Below are 23759 nucleotides of genomic sequence, written 5' to 3' on the forward strand. Positions count from 1 at the left end.
CTAATACTTTTGATCCATGAGCATGAGATGTCTTTCCCTTTTTTTTTTTTTTTCCTATCTTTTTCAATTTCTTTCATTGGTATGCTGTGGTTTGCCTTGTAGAGGTCTTTCCTCTCCTTGGTTCACTTTATTCCTAGGTGTTATTTATTTTTTTGTAGCTGCTGTAAATAGGATTGCCTTCTTAATTTCTTTTTCGGTGAGTTCATTATTGATGTATAGAAACATTGCTGATTTTTCTGTGTTGATTTTGTATCCTGCAGCTTTACCGAATTTGCTTATTACTTCTAAGAGTTTTTTGGTGGAGTCTTTAGGTTTTTCTAGATATAAAATCATGCCCAGCTATAAAGAGGGACAATTTGACTTCCTCTTTTCCAATTTGGATGTCTTTTGTTTCTTTCTCTTGCCCGATTGATGTGGCTTGGACTTCTGGTACTATGTTGAATAGGAGTGGTGAAAGTGGGCATCCTTGTCTTGTTCAGTTCTTAGAAAAGGCTTCCAGCTGTTCCCCATTCAGTGTGATGTGGGCAGAGGGTTTGTCATTTTTGGACTTTATTATGTTGAGGTATGTTCCTCCAATGCCTAATTTTTTGAGAGTTCTTGCCTTGAAGTATGTTGAATTTTATCAGATGTGTTTTCTGTGTCTATTTTGATGATTATCTGGTTTTTGTCCTTTGTTCTGTTGATGTGATATATTATGTTAGCTGATTTGCACATGTGGAACCATTCTCTGCGATGCTTTAAAATTTGTTTTTCTTTAAAACCTCTGTGGGATCTTTAACTACATCTTAATGAGTATCATGTGAAATAAATTGTTATAATTAGCAATAAGAAAAAACCTAAGTCTACTTGCTACTGTTTTGTATATACACACTTAACATGTTTGCTTGATTCTTTTCTATAGGGCTTTATTTACTGTGTGTGTAAAATTCCTTTTTTAAAATATTGCCGATCAATATTTTATTGATGTAGGCTGGTGTATCTAAACTAAATGAAGCTAAAGCTCTTGTGGATGAACTGAACAGAAAAGCTGGAGAACAAAGTGTGTTACTTAAAACGAAGCAAGATGAAGCAGATGCTGCCCTTCAAATGATCACAGTGTCAATGCAGGTAATGTTTAGAGTGACCACAAAAATGAAAACAATATGGAGAGCATTTATGCCTGATAGTCAGTGAAAAATAACATTTTCACTTAGGTGGATTTAAAAAATATTGCTTATTCATACTGAGTCAGACTGATATTATGTCCTTAAGCTTTTGTGGAAGGGCATGGTATTTTCCTATATTGTTTAGACTGATCACTCGGTGCACTCAGTTGACCATGTGCAACTTATGTAAACTCTTTTTATATTTTAAATTGGCATGGATCTGTCTGTAACTGATTTTATTTCTTATACTCTGCCATTTAGGTTGGTATTTCCTTTTATTTTTCTTAGAATTCTCTCCTTCAGGCTTTGAGAGTTTTCCTTGCTTTTAATTTTCTCAAGATTTATGAAATGTTTTTATTCTTTCAGTACTTTCATGATGTTTTGTATTTTGATTATACATTTTTTGAGTGGTTGCCTTTGTTTTGTTGAACCCTTTCAAGGGAGATTTCTCTGAGTTCCTTCTTTGCCCCAGTATTTTATGTCTGCATGCTCTTTCAGGATGATCTTGTTCATTATATTGCTCTTACTACCAGCTACATATAACTGTTTTCAAATTCATCTTTTTTATTCTTTATCCTAACTCCTCTTATTAGCTTCAGACTTGCTCAATTACTGGCAGGGCATGGTCACTCATGCTGTAATCCTAGCTCTTTGGGAAGCCGAGTGGGAAGATTGCTTGAGCCCATGAGTTTAAGGACCAGCCTGGGCAATATAGTGAGACCTTATCTCTACAAAAAAAGTAAAAATTAGTTGAGTGTGGTGGCACGTGCCTATAGTCCCAGCTACTCAGGAGGCTGAGGTAGGAGGATTGCTTGAGTTTGAGAGGCAGAGGTTGCACAACGAGCTGAAATCATGCCACTGCTCTCCAGCCTGAGTGACAGAGCAAGACTCTCAAAAAAAAAAAATTCAATTTTATCTGTTAAACATGTCTTCTTGGAAGTCTCTCGGGCATTACAATTTGAAACAGGTTCAAAACTGAACTTATGAGTTTTCTTTCCTGTATTTCTTTCCTCAGATTATGGTACTATAATATACACTAATTATTTAAGACAGAACTTATAAATTATATTATACTGAGACTTTTGTTACCTTATCCCTTAATGTAATGAGTCATTAAATTCTGTCAATTTTATTTCCCTGACTATGCCTCAAATATGTTTCCCCATCTCCCTCTTGGTAACTGTTACCTTGTCAACTAGGCACTAATCTAATGCCTCTTTTATGAAAATTAACTTTAATATTCATCAGACTAATGTATATATCTCAATTAAAAAGTAAGTGGCATGAAAAATCAACAAAGTTATGGGAGTTAGGATTTCTTTTTTTTTTTTTGAGACGGAGTCTCGCTCTGTCGCCCAGGCCGGACTGCGGACTGCAGTGGCGCAATCTCGGCTCACTGCAAGCTCCGCTTCCCGGGTTCACGCCATTCTCCTGCCTCAGCCTCCCGAGTAGCTGGGACTGGGACTTAGGATTTCAAGAGTCACTTTTCAGTAATCATAAGGCAATCTGATATTACTGTAATATTAGGCATAGAGATCACTGGAATGTGGTCGGTTGATTTTACACAAAAATGCCAAATAAATGGGGAAAGATAGTCTTTTTGAAAAATGGTGCTGGATATTTAGATATCCAGGTAGAGAGAGAAAAAGCCCAGAACCTTTACCTTTTAACTTACACAAAAATTTACACAGTGTGGATGATGGATCTTAGTGTAGAACATGAAATTATAAAACTTAGAAGAAAACACAGGAGAACATCTTTATGACCTTGGTGAGGCAAAGACTTGTTTGATGTGATATCAAAATAGAAAAAGAAAATTGATAAATTGAATTTCATCAAAATGAAAACTTCTGCTCTTTGAAATAAATTCCGAAATGAAAAGGCAAGTCACAGACTGGGAGAAAATATTTACAAAACATATATTTGATAAAGAACTTCTATTCAGAATTTTAAAAATACTGCAACTCAATAATAGCAAAACAAAAATCCAGTTTAACATGAACAAAAGATTTGAGCAGGCCATTTATGAAAGAAGACATATAAAGGGACAGTAAACACATGAAAATATGCTTAATTTCATGATCATCAAGTAAGTGTGAGCTAAAGTCCCAGTGATATGCTGCTACATATCCACTAGAATGGGTAAAATAAAAAGACTGAAAACACCTCAGTCTAGTATGGCAAGGCCGTGTGGAGCATCTGGAACTCTTATAATTGCTGGAGGAAATGAATAATGCTACAGTTACTTTTCAAAAGTTTGACACAGTCTCATAAAGTTAAACATATCTTAGTACATCAGCCAGCAGTCCCACTTTCAGATTTTTAGCTGAGAGAAATGAAAACGTGATAAATCTTAGAAGCATTACACTTAAGCGAAAACAGCCAGACACGAAAGACTGTATACTGTATGATTCCTTTGTAAGAAATTATAGAAACAGCCAAACTATGATAGAAATCAAATTAGTGAGTACCTGACCTGGTAAGTAATACATCAGAAAATGTAAATATAATTTTTATACTGGAAAACTTTAACATATTTTTTTCTCAAGGTATTTTGGAACAAAATTAATATAAATATTTACTTAATGAAGACAGCCATTTTTATTGTTAAAAAATCTGTCAATTATTTTGACCTTAAAAGAGTTGTTTGAAATATCAAAAAGTAAACACTATGTAAAGGATAACACTGTTGATTACCATGTGTTTATAAAGGAAAATATTTGGTGTTTTGATTACCATGTGTTTATAAAGGAAAATATTCGGCATTATGTGTGCTTTGTGTACTCTCTGGCTAGTGACATTAGTAATACACATTGAGTATCTGCTACTTTTTTCTCTGCGCTGTTCTGAGAAGCGATATTTCTAAGACTGTAGCTAATTTTATTATCCAGCAAAGACCCAGGAGAATAACTGTGCATCTCATAAGTTAATAATTTTGCTTAATTATAAATAGCAGATATTTCTGTTTGGTATTTTGTAGAAAGCACTGTCTGAAGAGATAGCTTAAATACCAAGTTGTGTAACTTCTAAGGCTTGCAATTCTAGGTTAATGGCATAAAGAAAGTGCAAATTAAATGCTATACAAACTCAGAATAGAGATACCTTCCAATTGGAACAGGAGGTTAATAAAAGAAGGAATCCATGAGCTGTGCCTGGGCTGTTTAAGTGTTTAATATGTTTTATTATGATTGTTTAAGAAATTATGCATTTCAGGATCTGGGCATGGCAATACATGCCTTTAATGTCGGCTATTTGGGAAGCTGAAGTTGGGGGGACCCCTTGAGTCTGGGAGCCTAATTAACATAGTGAGACCCTGTCTCAAAAAGAAAAAAAGGAAAAAAAAACTCAGAATGACAAATATATACAAAGATGTTCAACCTCATCAATAATCAAGGAAATACAAATTAAAATCATACCTTGAAAATTGTGTATTTCTGCTGGGCGCAGTGGCTCACGCCAGTAATCCCAGCATTTTGGGAGGCTGAGGTGGGTGGGTCACAAGGTCAGGAGTTTGAGACCAGCCTGGCCAACATGGCGAAACCCCGTCTCTACTAAAACTATAAAAATTAGCTGGGCATGGTGGTGGGCACCTGTAATCCCAGCTACTTGTGAGGCTGAGGTAGGAGAATCACTTGAACCCAGGAGGTGGAGGTTGAAGTGAGCTGAGACTGTGCTCTTACACTCCAGCCTGGGCGACAAGAGCAAGACTCCATCTCAAAAAAAATTAAAAAGGAGAAAATTACGTTTTTCTATCTTGTTTAAATTTTATATAAAAAGCATTTATTGCTTTGCTAAGTAGAAAAAAATTAAAGCACTGAAACCTTTCTGATAGAAAATATGGAGTAAAATATATCATTGGTTTCCCAGGCATTTTGGAAACTCTCTTGTCATAGATTCAAAACTAGTATTAGGAAACATTTAATAGAAAATGTTATTTTGAAATGTTATATTTTGGATTTCATGCTTTTAAATATCAAGCATTAAAATTGATTGGAATGCCACTTAAATATTCTTATAGGATGCTAGTGAGCAAAAAACAGAACTTGAAAGACTGAAGCACAGAATAGCAGAAGAAGTTGTTAAAATTGAAGAAAGAAAAAATAAAATTGATGATGAATTAAAAGAAGTACAAGTAAGTTAAAAAACATTCTAAGATCCATTTACATTTTTGCTTACCAGTTATATGTAGGAATTTAAACATTATTTGTAACTCAAGTTGTTTTCTCATAGTATTATAAAATGTGGTTTTCAACCAAAATGTTACTTGTAAAAGAGAACAAGAAGGAAAGCCTTCCAGGAAAAGTATAAATTAATGGATGATAATTAAAAATAATCTTTGTTTTCCAAGAGCCATATGGTTTTGATTGCAGAGGGAAAAAATGTGTTAGATAAATTAAGATATACTGTTAAGCTCTTTTTCTCCAGTTGATTAAATTAGTCAGCTAGTCCTAGGATATAAAGAGCCTCTTGAAAATGACAAATTGTCTCAAAACAAGTTAGATTTTCCAAATTAGGTTATTGCAGTTGTGGTGGCAAGACGTCTTACTGTCTCAAGTTGAACATTTTTTACACCTTGTATGATTGAAAGCATTTTGATATTTTAAGAGAGAGAACATTAGTAACTATAGTCATTTTGCATAAATGACAATAAAACATAATTTTTCAAGAGTTAATGATTTAAAGAAATATATAATTTGAAGATAAAAATGGCCTTTTTCTCTTTTAGCCTTTAGTCAATGAAGCTAAACTAGCAGTTGGAAACATTAAGCCCGAATCACTTTCAGAAATTCGCTCACTACGCATGCCACCTGATGTAATTAGAGATATTCTTGAAGGAGTTTTAAGGTTGATGGGTATCTTTGATACATCTTGGGTGAGCATGAAAAGGTACATTTTTCAATTTGTGAAAAATATTATTTCGGCAATGAATGACACATTCTTTCGTAGTTTTAAATATTTCTTATATTGTTTTTCAAAATGCACTTCATCTAAATACATGGGTGTACATTTTGGCTTGAAATTTCAAGGTATTCTATGTAATCATATATCAAGATCTATATATTCCTTTCTGTATAAGTGATTGTTAAAAGTGTCAAAAGAGGAGAAAAGGAATACCTTAGAATGTTTAAGAAATTTCTCAATAAATATAATAATATATTTGGTCCATACATAGTATAGAGGACTGTGATTTCACCATGATTTACTGTTGAAGAAAATATAGTCACTATCCTTAAGAGTCTTGTACTACCGAGAGAGGGAAAAAGACAGAGACAGAAACAGAAAGAGGGAGACCCTTAAATAATAAAAGGGAGCTGCAAACTAGAAGAGAATAAGGTATTAACAAAATATGAAACCATGCAGGTTCAGGTTTCATGTTATAATAGTTGTGTTATGGTTTGTGCCGATATTAAGTTCCTTGTCAGTATTTAGGTTGATAGTAAAGAGTTCCTTTTATATCTGGAGATGGAGGAGGACATAGGTTGACAGAGCACTTTAAGTTACCTTAAAAGGAGTCAGACAATTTTCTTGCATATCCTAGAACATATGAGTACCTAATAGTTCACAAATAAGGATTTGAGTAGAACAAGATTGTGATTCTTTCATATCATTTCTTGTTCTAGTTTATTCACAGAACATTAGAAAGACTGTCCTACATCTCTCTAGAGTTTTTGTTGTCTACGAAAAGTCGATAATACAGCTGGGCACACCTGTAATCCCAGCACTTTGGGAGGCCAAGGCACTTTAGGCCAGGAGTTTGAGACCAGCCTGGGCCACATGGTTAAACCCCATCTCTACCAAAAATACAAAAATTAGCCTGGTGTAGTGGCACGCACCTGTGGTCCCAGCTACTTGGGAGGCTGAGCTGGGAGGATCGCTTGAGCCCAGGAGGTGGAGATTGCAGTGAGCTGAGATTGTACCACAGCACTCCTGCCTGGGTGACAGAGCGAGACTCTGTCTCAAATCAAACAAACAAAAATAAGGATAATACATTAGAAGCTTAAAGGTTTTAATACCATATTTTTGTTAACTAATGGATTAAAAGTATTGCATACACCATTTTGTTAAACTGATTTTTTTTCAGAAACAGCAAATTTTATTTAGCCTCATTTAAGGAAATATGCTTTAATTTTAGTTTCCTTGCAAAAAGAGGTGTAAGAGAAGACATAGCAACCTTTGATGCCCGAAATATTTCAAAGGAAATAAGAGAGAGTGTTGAAGAACTTCTTTTTAAAAATAAAGGCTCTTTTGATCCAAAGGTAATTTTTAAGTTATACTATAAATTTGTTTTTCCATACCATATAATATTCTGCTTTTTAAAATGTGGTGCTTTGTCATTGCCAACTGTTTAGATCACCTAAAAATGAAAATAAAAAATAAGCTTATAGGAATTACACTTGGGAAGCATTAACCATCAGAATCAGGTAAATTAGAATCTAGGTAGCAGGGGAGATTTATTATCTTGAGTGGTTTTAATAGTTTTGTATCTGCTGTTAATGTTCTCAGCTTTTTTTTTAAGCTTTCAACTGTCCTGGTATGCTTTTATTTTTTCTTGTGTACTTGTCAGATAACAACAGGTATCTGTTTTAGGACAGTGGTATCTAATTTCAGTGAACAATTTAGATTTCATGATTCTGGTATTTTTTTAGATCCCTTAATCAAAATGTTATGTACATCTTCTTTAACACCAACTACAATAGTTTTAAAGCTGCTCTTATCTAATAAAGATAAATCACATGTATAGAAGAAAAAGAATTGATGCTCAAACATTGTTGTGGATGACACATGTATTCATTAGAAATGTGACTAATAGAAAATTATGTTGATAAAACATCTTTAATTTAAAGATTCTGTGTGGTTCAAAAAATTTATTTTTAAGTGAAAATAGAGTTCATGTATATTTCTTTTAATCAAAATAGAAGTTCACTGTATTTTTATTTTAGCTATAAGCCAAAAAACTACTTTATTTGGGTCAAGTTAATAAGTGCCCAAATAAAGTGTGTTAGAATTAACTTTGCTTTCATTTGAAATTAAGTAAGGATGTTGAATCACTTCTCATGGATTTTTCAGAATGCTAAGCGTGCCAGTACTGCAGCTGCACCTTTGGCTGCCTGGGTGAAAGCCAATATTCAGTATTCCCATGTCTTGGAACGAATTCATCCTTTGGAAACTGAACAGGCAGGATTAGAATCGTAAGTGAAATATAAAATATAAACAATTCTAACCTTTATTTTCATCAGTTTGATGAGGTTTTAATAATTATTATTTTTATTTTTTCTCTATTTGTAAAATGGCAGTTGACAATACTAAAATATATGAATGAGTCAATTAAAGACAAATTTAAAAACAGATCAAAAAAAGAAAGCAATTAGAAGGAGAGAGAAGAACCAACTCACTTTTTCTTTACCATTATTATATTGTTGGAAGGCTAGGTAAAAGTTCCTTTAGAAGGAGCCAAAGTTTCATAAAGGAATTTTTTTTGTTGTTGTCGTTTTTTGTTTTTTGTTTTTGAGACACAGTTTCGCTCTTGTTGCCCAGGCTGGATTGCAGTGGTGTGATCTCGGCTCACCAAAACCTCCACCTCCCAGGTTCAAGCGATTCTCCTGTCTCAGCCTCCCGAGTAGCTGGGATTACAGGCATGTGCCACCACGCCCGGTTAATTTTGTTATTTTTAGTAGAGACTAAAATAACATGTTGGTCAGGCTGGTCTTGAACTCCTGACCTCAGGTGATTCACCTGCCTTGGCCTCCCAAAGTGCTGGGATTACAGGTGTGGACCACCACGCCTGGCCAAGGAATAATGTTAAAGTACGAAAGGAAAGCTTTGGAAATTTAAGACTTTTATGTTTATTTATTGATTTTTTTTTTTTTTTGAGACAGAGTCTTGCTCTGTCGCCAGGCTGGAGTGCAGTGGCGCGATCTCAGCTTACTTCAACCTCCGCCTCCCGGGTTCAAGTGATTCCCCTGCTTCAGCCTCCCAAGTAGCTGGGATTACAGGCATGTGCCACCACACCTGGCTAATTTTCTGTATTTTAGTAGAGAAGGGGTTTCACCATGTTGGCGAAGATGATCTCGATCTCCTGACCTAGTGATCCGCCCACCTCCGCCTCCCAAAGTGCTGGGATTACAGGCATAAGCCACCGTGCCTTGCTGGAAATTTAAGGCTTTTGTATTTGTTTTTACCTTCTAAGTTCTAGGAAATGCTTAGCATGTATTTTCCAAAACAGTGTGTGGGCAGGTAGGAGGAAGATTTAACCACTTACTATTAGAGCTGTGGTTCTAATTTGCTATCGTTACTAAGTCAGAAATATATTTTATCTCTTTTGTTCTAAATGCAGACCCAAAGGTTTATGTTCTTTTAAAAAAAAAAATTTCAATAGGTTTTTGGGGAACAAGTGGTGTTTGGTTACATGAATGAAATCTTTAGTGGTGATTTCAGAGATTTTGGTGCAGCCATCATCTGAGCAGTGTTACACTATACCCAATGTGTAGTCTTTTATCTCTTGCCACCCCCTGCCCTTTCCCGAGTCTCCAAAGTCCAATGCCTCATTCTTACGCCTTTGCGTCCTTATAGCTTAGCTCCTACGTGAGTGAGAACGTACAATGTTTGGTTTTCCATTCCTGAGATACTTTACTTAGAATATTAGTCTCCAATTCCATCCAGATTGTTGCAAATGCCATTATTTTGTTTCTTTTTGTGGCTGAGCAGTATTCCGTGGGGTATATATATACCACATTCTCTTTATCCACTGGCTGAATGATGGGCATTGGGTTGGTTCCATATTTTTGCCATTGCAATTTGTGCTGCTACAAACATGCGTGTGCAAGTGTCTTTTCCATATAATGCCTTCTTTTCCTCTGGGTAGATACCTAGTAGTAGAATTACTGGATCAAAGAGTAGATCTACTTTTAGTTCTTTAAGGAATCTCCACACTGTTTTCCACAGTGGTTGTACTGGTTTACATTCCTACCAAAAGTGTAAAAGTGTTCCCTTTTCACTGCATCCCTGCCAACATCTATACTTTTTTAATTTTTTTATTATGGCCATTCTTGCAAGAGTGAGGTGGTACTGGATTGTGGTTTTGATTTGCATTTCTCTGATAATTAATGATGTTGAGCATTTTTCCATATGCTTGTTGGCCATTTGTGTATCTTCTTTTGAGAATTGTCTATTCATGTTCTTAGCCCACTTTTTGATGGAGTCGTTTGTTTTTTTCTTGCTGAATTGTAAGAGTTTGTTGTAGATTCTGGATATTAGTCCTTTGTTGGATGTATAGATTGTGAAGATTTTCTCCTACTCTGTGGGTTGTCTGTTAACTCCGCTGATTATTTCTTTTGCTATGCAGAAGGATTTTAGTTTAATTAAGTCCCGTCTGTTTATCTTTGTATTTGTTGCATTTGCTTTTGGGTTCTTGGTCATGAAGTCTTTACCTAAGCCAATGTCTATAAGGGTATTTCTGATGTTATCTTCTAGAATGGTTATGGTTTCAGGTCTTAGATTTAAGTCTATGATCCATCTTGAGTTAATTTTTGTATAGGGTGAGAGACGAGGATCCAGTTTCATTCTTCTACGTGGGGCTTTCCGATTACCCCAGCACCATTGGTTGAATAGGGCATCCTTTCCCTACTCTATGTTTTTGTTTACTTTGTGAAAGATCAGTTGGCTGTAAGTATTTGGGTTTATTTCTGGATTTTCTCTTCTGTTCCATTGGTCTATGTGCCTATTTTTATACCAGTGCAATGCTGTTTTGGTGACTGTGGCCTTATAGTATAGTTTGAGGTTGGGTAATGTGATGCCTCCAGATTTGTTTGTTTGCTTCCTCTTGCTTTGGCTATGCAGGTTCTTTTTTGGTTCCATATGAATTTTAGGATTGTTTTTTCTACTTCTGTGAAGAATGATGGTGGTATTGTGATGGGAATCACATTGAGTTTGTAGATTGCTTTTGGCAGTATGGTCATTTTCACAATATCGATTCTGCCCATCTGTGAGCATGGGATATGTTTCCATTTGTTTGTATCATTTGTTTGTAACCATATCCTTGGTTAGGTGTATTCCTAAGTATTTTTTTTTTTTACAGCTACTGTAAAAGGAGCTGAGTTCTTGATTTGATTCTTAGTGTGGTTGCAGTTGGTGTATAGCAGAGCTACTGATTTGTGTACATGAATTTTATGTTCTGAAACTTTGCTGTATTCATTTACCAGTTCTAGGAGCTTTTTGGATGAGTCTTTAGGGGTTTCTAGGTATATAATAGTATCATCAGCAAACACTGGCAGTTTAGCTTCCGCTTTACCAATTTGGATGCCCTTTATTTCTTTCTCTTGTCTGATTGTTCTGGCTAGAACTTACAGTGCTATGTTGAATAGAAGTGGTGAAAGTGGGCATCCTTGTCTCTTGTTCCAGTTCTCATGGGGAATGCATTCCACTTTTCCCCATTCAGTATAATGTTGGCTGTGGGTTTGCCATAGATGGCTTTTATTACCTTAAGGTATGTCCCTTCTGTGCCAATTTTGCTGAAGATTTTAATCATAAAGGGACACTGGATTTTGTTAAATGCTTTTTCTGTGTCTATTGAGATGATTATGTGATATTTGTTTTTAATTCTGTTTATGTGGTGTATCACATTTATCGACTTAACGTATGTTAAACTTGCATCCCTGGTATGAAACCCAGTTGATCATGGTGGATTATCTTTTTGATATGCTATTGGATTTGGTTCACTAGTGTTTTGTGGAGGATTTTTGCATCTGTGTTCATCAGGGATATTGGTCTATAGTTTTCTTATTTTGTTATGTCCTTTCCTGGTTTTGATATTAGGGTGATACTGGCTTCATAGATTGATTTAGGGAGGATTCCCATCTTCTCTATGTTTTTGAATAGTGTCAATAGGATTGGTACCAATTCTTCTTTGAATGTCTTATAGAATTAAGCTGTGAATCCATCAAGATTTTAAAATTACCATTTCAATCCTGCTGTTTGTTATTGGTCTGTTAAGAGGTTCTATATCTTCCTGGTTTAATCTAGGCGGGTTGTATATTTCCAGAAATTTATCCATCTCCTCTGGGTTTTCTAGTTTATGTGCATAAAGGTGTTCATAGTAGCCTTGAATAATCTTTTGTATTTCTGTGGTGTCAGTTGTAACATCTCCCATTTCTTTCTAATTGAGCTAATTTGTATCTTCTCTCTTCTTTTCTTGGTTAATCTTGCAAATGGTCTGTCAATTTTATTTTTTCAAAGAATGAACTTTTTGTTTCATTTATCTTTTGTATTTTTTTTGTTTCAATTTCATTTAGTTCTGCTCTAATCTTCGTTATTTTTTTTTTCTGTTGGGTTTGGGTTTGGATTGTTCTTGTTTCTTCAGTTCCATGAGGTGTGACCTTAGATTGTCTATTTATACTCTTTCGTACTTTTTGATATAGGCATTTAATGCTATGAGCTTTCCTCTTGGCACCATCTTTGCTGTATTTTAGAGGTTTTGATAGGTTGTATTACTATTATAATTCAGTTCAAACAATTTTTCAACTTCCATTTTGATTTCATTGTTGACCCAACAATCATTCAGGAGCAGGTTATTTAATTTCCACATATTTGCATCGTTTTGAAGGTCCCTTTTGGAGTTGATTTCCAGTTTTATTCCACAGTGGTCTGAGAGAGTACTTGATATAATTTCGATTTTCTTAAATGTACTGAGACTTGTTTTGTGGCCTGTCATATGGTCTATTTTGGAGAATGTTCCATGTGCTGATGAATAGAATGTATATTCTGCTGTCATTGGCTAGAATGCTCTGTAAATATCTGTTAAGTCCATTTGTTGTAGGGTATAGTTTAAGTCCATTATTTCTTTGTTGACTTTCTGTCTTGATGACTTGTCTAGTGCTGTCAGTGGAGTATTAAAGTTTCTCACTATTATTGTGTTGATGTTTATCTCATTTCTTAGGTCTAGTAGTAATTGTTTCATAAATTTGGGACTGCCATTGTTAGGTGCATATATGTTTAGGATTGTGATATTTTCCTGTTGGACTAGTCCTTTTATCGTTATATAATGTCCCTCTTTGTCTTTTTTAATTGCTGTTGCTTTAAAGTTTGTTATGTCTGATATAAGAATAGCTACTCTTGCTTACTTTTGGTGTCCATTTGCATGGAATATGTTTTTCCACCCCTTTACCTTAAGTTTATGAGAGTCCTTATTGTGTCAGGTGAGTCTCTTTTAGACAGCAGAAACTTGGTTGGTGAATTCTTATCCATTCTGCCATTGTGTATCTTTTAAGTGGAGCATTTACGCCATTTACGTTCAGTGTTAGTATTGAGATGGGAGGTTTAGATCCATTGCTGATGAGCTGGTATAATATTTTGGGGGTGTTAAAGAACCTTGTTTTGTCATATTACCACAATTGTTTTTCTGGTTCCTTCTCATTTGGGTAGACTATGTCAGAGGGAAGATCTGGGATTCAAGTGCAGCTGATCAGATTCTTTTGTCTCATGGGGCGCTCCCTTGCTGTGATGGTCTTTCCCTTCCCCTAGGAATGGGTAGTTCTGAGATCTGAACTGTAGTGATTGTTTTTGCGCTTCTGGGTCTAGCTACCCAGCAGAGCTACTGGGCTCTGGGCTGGTGTTGGGGAGTGTCTGCACAGAGTCCTGTGATGTGATCTGTCTTCAGGTATCTTAGCTGTGGATACCAGCACCTGCTCCACTGGAGGTAGCAGGGGAATGAAGTGAACTCTGTGATGGTCATTGGTTGTGTTTTTGTTTAGTGTGCTGGTTTTGTGTTGGTTGGCCTCCAGCCAGGAGGTGGCCCTTTCAAGAGTGCATCAGCTGTGGTCCTATAGGGAGGATGCAAACTTGCCCTAGGGACACCTGGTTAACTCTTCAGGTTTCTCAGGCGGTGGGCAGGGCCTTAGAGCTTTCAAGATATTATGACCTTTGTTTTTGGCTACCAGGGTGGGTAGAGAAAGAACACCTGGTGGGGGCAGGGATAGATGTATCTGAGCTCAGCCTCTCCTTTGGTGGGGCTTGTTGTGGCTGCTGTGGGGGAGGGGGGTGTGGTTTCCAGTCCAATGTAATTATATTCCCAGGGGGATTATGGCTACCTCTGCTGAGTCATGCAGGTCACCCAGGGTAGTGGGGGAAAGCCAGCAGGCACAGGCCTCACCGGCCTCCTATGTAGTCTGCAGTCCTAAAGGCTGGTCTCACTCCCACCATGCCCCAACAGCACCAAATGTATTTCCAGGCAGCCAGTGACCAGGGCTGAGAACTTGCCCCAGACCATGAGCCTTCTGTTGAGAAAGCAAGCGGACTTAAGTTTTTTGGTATCTCAGGGAGCCTGCAGTGGTGACCCAGTTCCTTCAAAGGGTCTGTGGATTCTTTTGGCTTTCCTAGTATGTTCCTGCAGTAGTTCTTGCAGCGAAAGTTCACCATGTAAGTCTCCACATGCTCCTCTGTCTGTCTGAGTGGGAGCTGCAAGCTAGTCCTGCTTGCTATCTGTCATCTTAATCCTAATTGACTTATATTCTTGATTGTTCAATTTTTGACATTATCTATTAATTTCATACTGTGTATTAAAATTTATTCATCTTATTTCCTTTCTTGTATACTTTTTGCTTCTTAATATAAGAATTGCCTCCTTTTTTTAGTTGATTATATTTTTCTGTTTACGTATCACAAATTTATCCACAGTTTCTCTGTCAGAGCCCTGAAACATCTTCATTGATCTGTGTGTTCTATTTATTTTTTCTTAGCTTTAGGCCTGCTGCTTAAGGCTGTTGTCTTGGGGCTTCTCTTCAGCATTGTTCTAGAGATTACCTATTGTATTCTTTTATTATGAATTCCTGTCTTTCTCTTCCTTCCTTTAGTTCTTCAGGTTTCTAGAACACATCTTCCATGGTAGAAAGAGTATATGGGCTGGAACATATTTTGAGATTTGCATGTCTAAAAGTGTCTATAATATATTATTGTATGTGATCAATAATTGGGTTGTGTTTAAATACTAGACTAGAAATAGTTTTAGCTCACAATTTTGAAGGCCTTATTCTATTGCAGTAATTCTCAAAATTTGGTTCCTAGACCAGCAGCATCAGCATCACTTTGGAACTTGTTAAAAGTGCAGATTTTTAAACTCCACCCAAACTAACTGATTCTGATTCAGATATATTGAGGGGGAGGGGACAGTAAGCCCTCGCAATCTCTGTTTTGACAGGTAATTTTGGTGTACACTGAAGTTTGAGAACCCCTGCTGTACTCTCCTCTAGAGTTCAGTGTTGCTTTTAAAAAGTCTAATGCTACTTTGATTCCCAGTGTTTTGTATGTTACCCCATATTTTTAGGGAGTTAGGAAGCTTTCTTGACCTGTCTGATCCTTGGTTGTTAGTTATTAATCGTGAGTTTTAGAAGTCTGACTGGAAGCCCTGAGTGTGTGGCCTGGGCTCCTTGGCTGCTGAGCATCACTGTAAGGCGATCAAATATGGACTGGCCATTTTATGGCAACCCCTTAATATTTGTGGGTATTTTGAGAGGATAAGGTGTCAGTCATTTTACTGTAAAAGAATCTTTTTATCTTTCACCTAGGATGTGTGCATAGAGGTTGATGGAGATGAGTAAGGGCATAAGCTAGACTTGCAGCATTCTGGGTTTTATTAGCGGTAGTCAGCTCTCAATAGAGGATGGATTCTGAGGTCCAACTCTTTGTAATATCAATTATTAAATAATCTTCTGTATTTAGCTTTATTGTTACCTTCATAAGTATCTGTACATTTTCTGAACATTTTAGGATTCTGCTTTTTTTGGCTCCTCTTTGTATAGGCATTTTAGCTTTTGGCTTTTTGCGTTCCGGTATGTTAGTTATTACTTTTTAAAAGTTTATTGAACTTTGAGGGTGCAGGATGCTGAGGTGGGAAGATTGCTTAAGCCTAGGAGTTTGAGGCTGCAGTGGGCTCTGATCGTACCACTGCACTCTAGCCTGAGAAACAGAGTGAGACTCTGTCTCTTAAAAAAAGAAAGTTATTTTTGAAATTTCTCCTATTTCATACTTTCCTCTTTTGATCTCTGTGCATATGTATCTTTCTTATTTTCTTGGCTTCATTTTAGTAGGGTTCTAGAAGGGATAGAAGATAAATAAATATGTTTACCATTTTTATCCAGAAATTTACACGTATGAGTGTTTTTAAATATAAATTCCTAGAAGTGGTATAGTTGGGTCAGAGGAAACACTTCTAATTTTAGCGTTGCTTTTCAAATTAAATTCTAAGTAAAGGTGTTATAATACTGAGTTACTGACAGTTTTAATTGTCATATGATTACATTTTAAGGTGCTGCTGCTGCTTTATAGTTGATATCTAAAATAGAATGACTTGTATAATATTGAGTTATATTTTAGGAATCTGAAGAAAACTGAAGACAGAAAAAGGAAACTAGAGGAGCTTCTTAATTCTGTTGGTCAAAAGGTATCAGAACTCAAAGAAAAGTAAGTTATATTTTGAAGTGTATTTTGGATAATGCTGAGAGTGTTTACATTTGACATCTTGATTTCTTTCTTGTTTTGACTTTTAAGATTTAGACTCTTATGTCAGATGATGCTGTGGGACCCAGTAGTCTATAATCTTTTTAAGGGTACATTATTATGTTTAAAAATTCTATCCTTTTAACTTTTTTCTCTTTTGTGTTAAAAAAATTTCTTCATGCAAATGTTATACTCAAGTTAAGGATCATTTTTGAATATTAGTTTTAAAGCCTTTCATGTATCCCATTTAGTACAGGGTAGAAAATATTGGTATGGGAATTATAAATGTTAGAACATTTTCTTTTAAAAGTTGTGAAGATTGAAAAGCTGAATAATATCTGATTTAATACAGTGTATGTTGAAGTGATGTATCATACTTCCTTTTTTAATGGAAGCAAAACTAATTATTTTACCAAGAAATTATTCAGATTAAAACTATGAATTTTTTCTCTACGTTCAGGAAACAATTTTCTCTCTCTGTGTGTGTGTTTCTCTCTCCCCCTCTCTCTCTTCTTCAGTTTCTCTTTCTGTCTCACCAATATATACTTATAGAGAAATACTTATAGAAAAAAATCAAACCGAAAAGAAAACCCCAAACCAATAAACCCAGTGTTTTCAATATTCCTGAACAATTATGTTAGAAATATAGGAAATAATTCACATCATTTTTTCCAGGTATTATTAGAGAAGTATAAGAAAAATAAGTATAATGTATTATTTTCACTGTCATGTGCTCACAATCAGCACTTAATATTCAGCTAATTCTCAAATATTTATTGAATAATTAGCTTGTTATGGCAATGTTTTGACTTCATTTATTAGTCACTTGCTGTGTTAGGTGTTATACTGGGTAATTTATGTATTTATTTCTTTAATCCTTAAAACAATGATGAGAAGTAAATCTATTTCTATTTAGCAGATTAGGAAGGTTAAAATTATATAGTCTTTTTTGTCTGAAGTTGAGCAGCTAGTAAAATACTAAGCCATGTTAGATACTAGATTTGTCTAATTCCATAAAGTTTCTGCTCTTAACCATTGCACCATACTACCATTATTTTGGAAGGATTATTATAAGAACTTTTGGAATTAACTTTTAATTTTAAATAAAACAGAATGACATTTTTCATTATAGAGTCATTGTTGAGAATGAATTAATGTTGGTTACCATGCTGTTACTTATACTGATCCTTAATTAAGGTTTAATTGACTCTAGGCCATGAGTAACAGTCTTATTTTCTTATACATCAACAAAGAATAAAGGACTTGAAAAATAAGCATGATCTATCAATTTTTAAATTCTAATTTTACAAAATTAAAGAGATGGTTTCCATTTCTAATACAACTTATACAGAGATATGAGAGTTGATTTAATGCAACAAATATTCATTGCAAAACCATGTTCAAGGTGTAATATGAAATGTTGTGGTCAATAAAGATGCAGCTTTCCATTTCCAGGTTTTAGAACAGTGCTGTTTAATGGAACTTCATGAGATTATGGAAATGTTCTGTGCTCTGTGTTTATCCAGTATGGTAGCCAATAGTCATATGCAGTTACTGAGCACTTGCAATGTTTGTAATATGACTGAGGAATTGAATTTAAAATTTTATTTATCTTTAATAATTTAAATTTAAATAGCCGTAAAGTGGCTAGTGGTTATTTGTCCATATTGGACAAATTGGTTCTAGAGTCTTATGTCTAGGGAAAGAAGGAAGAAGGCACTTAGAAAGACAATGAAATATACTGTAAAGTACATGCAACTTAATGCCAGTCACATCTGTATATGAATTTTAGATCCTCTGCTGATTATTGATGAGAACCTGAGAAATAATTTATTTGGGTTTAAGTTTACATATGTATAGCATAAGATTTATAATACTTAACTGGAACTGTTCTGGAGAATTAAATGCTGGTTTTTTTTTTTTTGATGCTTGGCACCACCCTGGGCATATTATAAACACTTACACATATTTGTTGAATGACTAAATAATCATGTCAAATATTACTATTACATTTAATAAAATCACACACATATTTTTCAAGGAAAATAATTTAAAAAGAAAATCATAAAGATCAATGAATATAGGGAGAGATTATATATAATGTACTAAAATGAATTTTGAAATTTTATTTGTATTTTTAGTGGTAGATGTTAGAGGGGGTTGGGCTGTGGGGTGAGGAAGGGTGTGGTTGGAAGATACTCTAGGCAAATGGAACATTCTGAAGAACACTGGAGATGAAGGATAGGATATTTACTGATAATGTAAAATTCTTCCGATATTGACATATATTAATGGTTTTGCTGATCAGTAATATAATGAAATAAAACTAGAAAGACAGATGGGATGTTTAGGACAGTGCCTTGAATGCCGTATTGGCAAATTTTTATATAATGCAGTACAGCACGGAGGCCCTGTCAAGTTTTTTGAGGTAGAGAATGCTACACTTTATGTGTGTGTGTGTGTGTGTGTGTGTGTGTGTGTGTGTGTGTGTGTGTGGGTTTGTCTCTTCTATTAATGATACTTTGTATGCAAACATTAATAGTATTATCATTAAATTATGGCATAAAAGTTTACTTTATTACCTATGGATAATTTCATTAAATCTCTCCCAAATCCTTTTTGCTTTTAATTAAATTTTAATGTTTACATAGATTTCAGAGCAGGACTTCAGAAGCTGCCAAACTTGAGGCTGAAGTAAGCAAGGCACAAGAAACAATCAAAGCTGCAGAAGTCTTAATTAATCAGCTTGACAGAGAACATAAGAGATGGAATGCACAGGTTTGTTTGAGAGAGGGGCCATGAGGAGTCTACCTTTAAACTGCAGGAAATCTATAATGTAATGTATGTTAAGAAAAAGGAGAGAAAGATCCATTAATTTGCACCTGGCTCAGGATAAATAATCTGGATATAAATGGCCATTATGTGAATTACTCTTTAAACAAAGCGTCTTTATATGAATAGATTTTTAGGCAAAGCAGCCTATTTTCCTTTCAGTTCCGTATGTTATGAGAGATGAGCAGGATGAAAATGGGTGGATGGAAAACTTAGTACTCCTTAGAATTTTCTTTGAATTTACCTTCACCAGGACAGTAATTTTAGGATTTGACACTGTTGGCTATTTATTTTTTCTTGAAATATTTTATTATTTTGACTTTTTAGTGTTGTCTCTTGTTTTTTCTTGGTTTATTTCTGAAATCAGTTAAGCTTCCTTTCCTTTCCTGATCCTCCTCATCTGCTCATCCAGTAATGTTGATTGTCCTTGTTATTCTCTTCCACAGCAGCTTTTTCTGCAACTGCCTTGGGGGTTATCTCATCCCTTCATAATATCACCTACACCTTCATAATGACCAGAGCTACATTTCCAGACTACTGAGTTTTAAATGTGTATTTCCAACTATACATTAGACATTTGCATTTAATTGTCTCTGAGGAACTCAAACCCAACATGTCTAAATTATTTTCTTTTTCTTATTCCAAGTCTCCTTTATTTTCTGTTTCACTGGAGGCATCTTTCTTTGGGCATCAATACTAAAAACATGTGGGTTGTCTTAGACTCTTCCCTGTTTACTTGTCATATCAATTTGCAAATATTCTTTATATTTGTCTTCTATCTTTAATGCCAATTTCTTTTCATTTCTCATCTGACTTTTTTAATGTATCCTCCTATCTGACCCTTTAATTAGTTCACCCTTCATTTGTCAGCTGAATTATCTTTATAAAACCCAATCTGATTACATTACTCATTGCTTGCTTAAATGCTTTCAATGGCTCACGTCACAGTTTAAAATAGAAATTCCTTTGCATGTCGTGGAAAACCTTTCACAATCTGCCTTTAATTAGCTCTATCTCTCTTCTTTCCTTTAATATAACTACTCTTTCTGCTGAATCTTGTGCTTTATTTACAATAACCTTTTTGCTAATGGGTCTTCATGCTGTAGCTTTGTTTTGTCCCTTTGTTCATTCTCTGTGTCTTAATCTTAGTTTACAAAGTGGTGCAAACTCACATTTAACTGTGATTGGGATGAAAATTCTGCTTTCTTTAAAATCGTTAAGAACTTTCAATGACTAAATATGTTTGTTTCTACAAATATATTAGGATTTTATACTTTTAAAAAATATCACAGCAGAGTCTGAGATCTTTTTGATATTTTTACATTTTGACTGTTACATTCAAAACAAGTTATTACCTGTGATTTTCCCCCTCACAGTCAAAACCATAAAACTGTCATTTTCTTTAATGTTAGAACATACTCATATATCTCCCTCTTTCTTCTCTCTCTTTTTTCCAGGTTGTAGAGATAACAGAGGAATTAGCTACTCTTCCTAAAAGAGCTCAACTTGCTGCTGCATTTATTACATATCTTTCTGCTGCTCCTGAATCTCTGAGAAAAACCTGTTTGGAAGAATGGACCAAGTCAGCTGGTCTTGAGAGTTTGTATTTAGTTATTCCTGATCTTGAGAGTTTGTATTTAGTTATTCCTGAATTTAAAATTTCAATATACTAAAAATAGACCCTTTATTCTCTGTTATTTTACCTTTTTTAAATGGGGGAAATTTTATATGGGTTCCAAGGATACCCTAGCTACTTTAGATTTGCTGAATTCCACAAATGTTCTTGAATTTGCTTTATTAATATGATTTTTCTATTCTTAAATCACTGTAAAAAACTGAGATGACTGAATTATTTTTGATATTGCATAGATGCAATTAAACATTATGTTACTTTTATTTTTATAATAATTTTATTTCATAGGCTGAGATGCAAGAACTTTAAAATTCTTTGTGATGTTAGTGGTATTTTACAAAATTATTTTAGTTTGTGAAACAGTCACTCAAAGAAATAGGACTTCGTGGAGTTCCATTCCTTTGCACTTTTTGTTTTTGTTTTAGACTTTTTTCTCCGTGGGTTTGGGTGTTAAATGTGGAAGAATGGGTTTCAAGTAAGGACTGTCATAGGACTTTTGTTTCGGAATAAATAGCTTTATTTCCTTCCCTTCATCAAGTACAAGATCGTTGTGAAGTATTATCAATATCTTCAACTTTTCAGAATTTGATCTGAGGAGATTTCTTTGTACTGAAAGTGAGCAGTTAATTTGGAAAAGTGAAGGCCTACCATCAGATGACCTTTCCATAGAAAATGCTCTTGTAATATTACAGGTAGTTAATTTATTTTAATTTTTTTATTAGAAATGTTTTATTGTCAAGCTTGCTGTAGAAATTGTGTTCTTCGTATTCTTAGTCTTTCACAGTTACCCTTTTCTTACTAAAATAAAAATATTTTGCTAATGAAAACCCATCAATGATTCAGTTAGTGAGTGTAAGACTTTCTGTATAATTTATTTTTTACCTTAATATAAAAGTATAAAGTGGCATTCTTTTGATGGCAAAATATTCTAAATTGTATTTCCTAATAGTAATAGAAATATTTTAGGGATACCCAATTCATTGGTTATATAGTTTCTTCATGAGTACAGACTAGAATATATGACTTCATAAATTTTATGTTTTTATTTCATTTTATTTTGCCAAACAAAATTAGCAAAAAGTGAAGATAAGTTTTGGCTTATCAATTAGAGATAATCATACACATAATTTGGAAATTTGTTTTGTCACATAGTGCACATTTTCCAAAGCTATTTAAAATGGAAAATAGCATAACCTTATTATCAGTGAGTGTGAAAACCAAATTCAAAGCCATGTACACAAATAAATAATCACTTGAATAAAGTTTGATTTTTCCCATTAACTTGGTTTACTTTTCTTGATATGGAAATTGGAAGATGATTTTTACTTCTTGATAATGTGATTTTTCTATTCTTTCTGTCAATAGTTTATATTTCATAATAAATATTAGTATTCCTTTTCCTCTCAGTAATCCTTCTCTCTGCCTACACACTATTTCCTTATTCTTATTTTTTAACTCCATAGTCTCAAAGAAAGCATGAACATTAAACATGCTCCTCTTTATGTAGCATAAACTGTATTATAAGATTTATATTTTAGGTGCTGTTCATTACTTGATAATTTGTTCTGTTTTATTAGACCTATTAATCAGCTGACTATGCTTCAGCTCACTGTATTGGTAACTTACCGGTAGAGAAGTTGCTGACCACTAATTGAATAGTTTTGCTTTCTATTAATTTGATTTTGCCTGTTTTTAAATTTACTTTTAAAATTTTTTTTATTATTTTCACAATGGAATCACAAATATGAAACTCTAAATGCTTATGTAAATAAATGTATTACATTATAGCAAACTATATGCTTTTTATTATATTTGTTATTCCCTCCCTAAGGTTTCATAGCCACATCTTTTTCCTGTTTCAATAATCCAAGAAAGCAATTGATTGCAAATTAAAAAAAAAAGGTTTAAGAATTCTTTTTTATTCCATAAGAAACAAGGGGAGGGTGGTAAGTCTGTAGACAAAATATGTTTATCAGAATAATTTTTTTACCAATGTTAATTGAAAATGCTTAGTTTTGTATTCTGAATTGTCTTTCATGATGGATATGGGAAATTGCCTTTGAAATTAATAAGCTTAAATTTACTTTGTATTTAACATTGCTAAGTTCCTTTTAGATAATTACTTGCATTTATATGACAAAACAAAAATCATTGGAAACATTTCTTAGGGTAATTAGTTATTTCGTTGAAATGAATTTGCTGTTATGGTCGACACTCCATCTCAGTTTTAAGGTGTACTAGATTTAAAATTAGTTGTAGTTTAAGGGTGTGATTGGATAGCACGTAATCTGTAACATCAACTCATTAACATCACCATGTACGTAAAATTAAATCTGTAAATATATATTAGTTGGGCTTCTGGGAAAAGATGGCTAGACATGATAAATAATATGCATTTGTGATTCAGAGATATAATCTCCTCATTAACTATGCTAAAGCTGGCCTGGTGTAGTGGCTCATGCTTGTAATCCCAGCACTTTGGGAGGCAAGGCGGGTGGATCACTTGAGGTCAGAAGTTTGAGACCAGCCTGACCAACATGGTGACACCCTGTCTCTACTAGAAATATAAAAATTAGCTGGGCATTTTGTCATGCACCTGTAACTCCAGCTACTCAGGAGGCTGAGACAGGAGAATTGCTTGAAACTGGGAGGCAGAAGTTGTA

The 23759-nt window shown here is 34.5% G+C and overlaps 1 protein-coding gene across 5 annotated transcripts in view; it reads left to right on the plus strand.

The window, feature by feature from the left end:
- Positions 1 to 23759, plus strand: part of DYNC2H1 (dynein cytoplasmic 2 heavy chain 1) — a 370438-nt gene that overhangs the window by 105326 nt on the left and 241353 nt on the right. For all 5 annotated transcript variants that reach the window (NM_001080463.2, NM_001377.3, XM_017018291.2 and 2 more), the window contains 9 exons: positions 970 to 1107; positions 5164 to 5277; positions 5872 to 6032; positions 7279 to 7402; positions 8214 to 8335; positions 16509 to 16595; positions 19283 to 19409; positions 20921 to 21062; positions 21679 to 21788. In NM_001080463.2, the coding sequence (NP_001073932.1) occupies positions 970 to 1107; positions 5164 to 5277; positions 5872 to 6032; positions 7279 to 7402; positions 8214 to 8335; positions 16509 to 16595; positions 19283 to 19409; positions 20921 to 21062; positions 21679 to 21788 (1125 nt within the window). The remainder of the gene's footprint in view (positions 1 to 969; positions 1108 to 5163; positions 5278 to 5871; positions 6033 to 7278; positions 7403 to 8213; positions 8336 to 16508; positions 16596 to 19282; positions 19410 to 20920; positions 21063 to 21678; positions 21789 to 23759) is intronic.

This window comes from Homo sapiens, chromosome 11, assembly GCF_000001405.40.
Source record: "Homo sapiens chromosome 11, GRCh38.p14 Primary Assembly".
In the NCBI taxonomy this organism is placed as follows: Eukaryota; Metazoa; Chordata; class Mammalia; order Primates; family Hominidae; genus Homo; species Homo sapiens.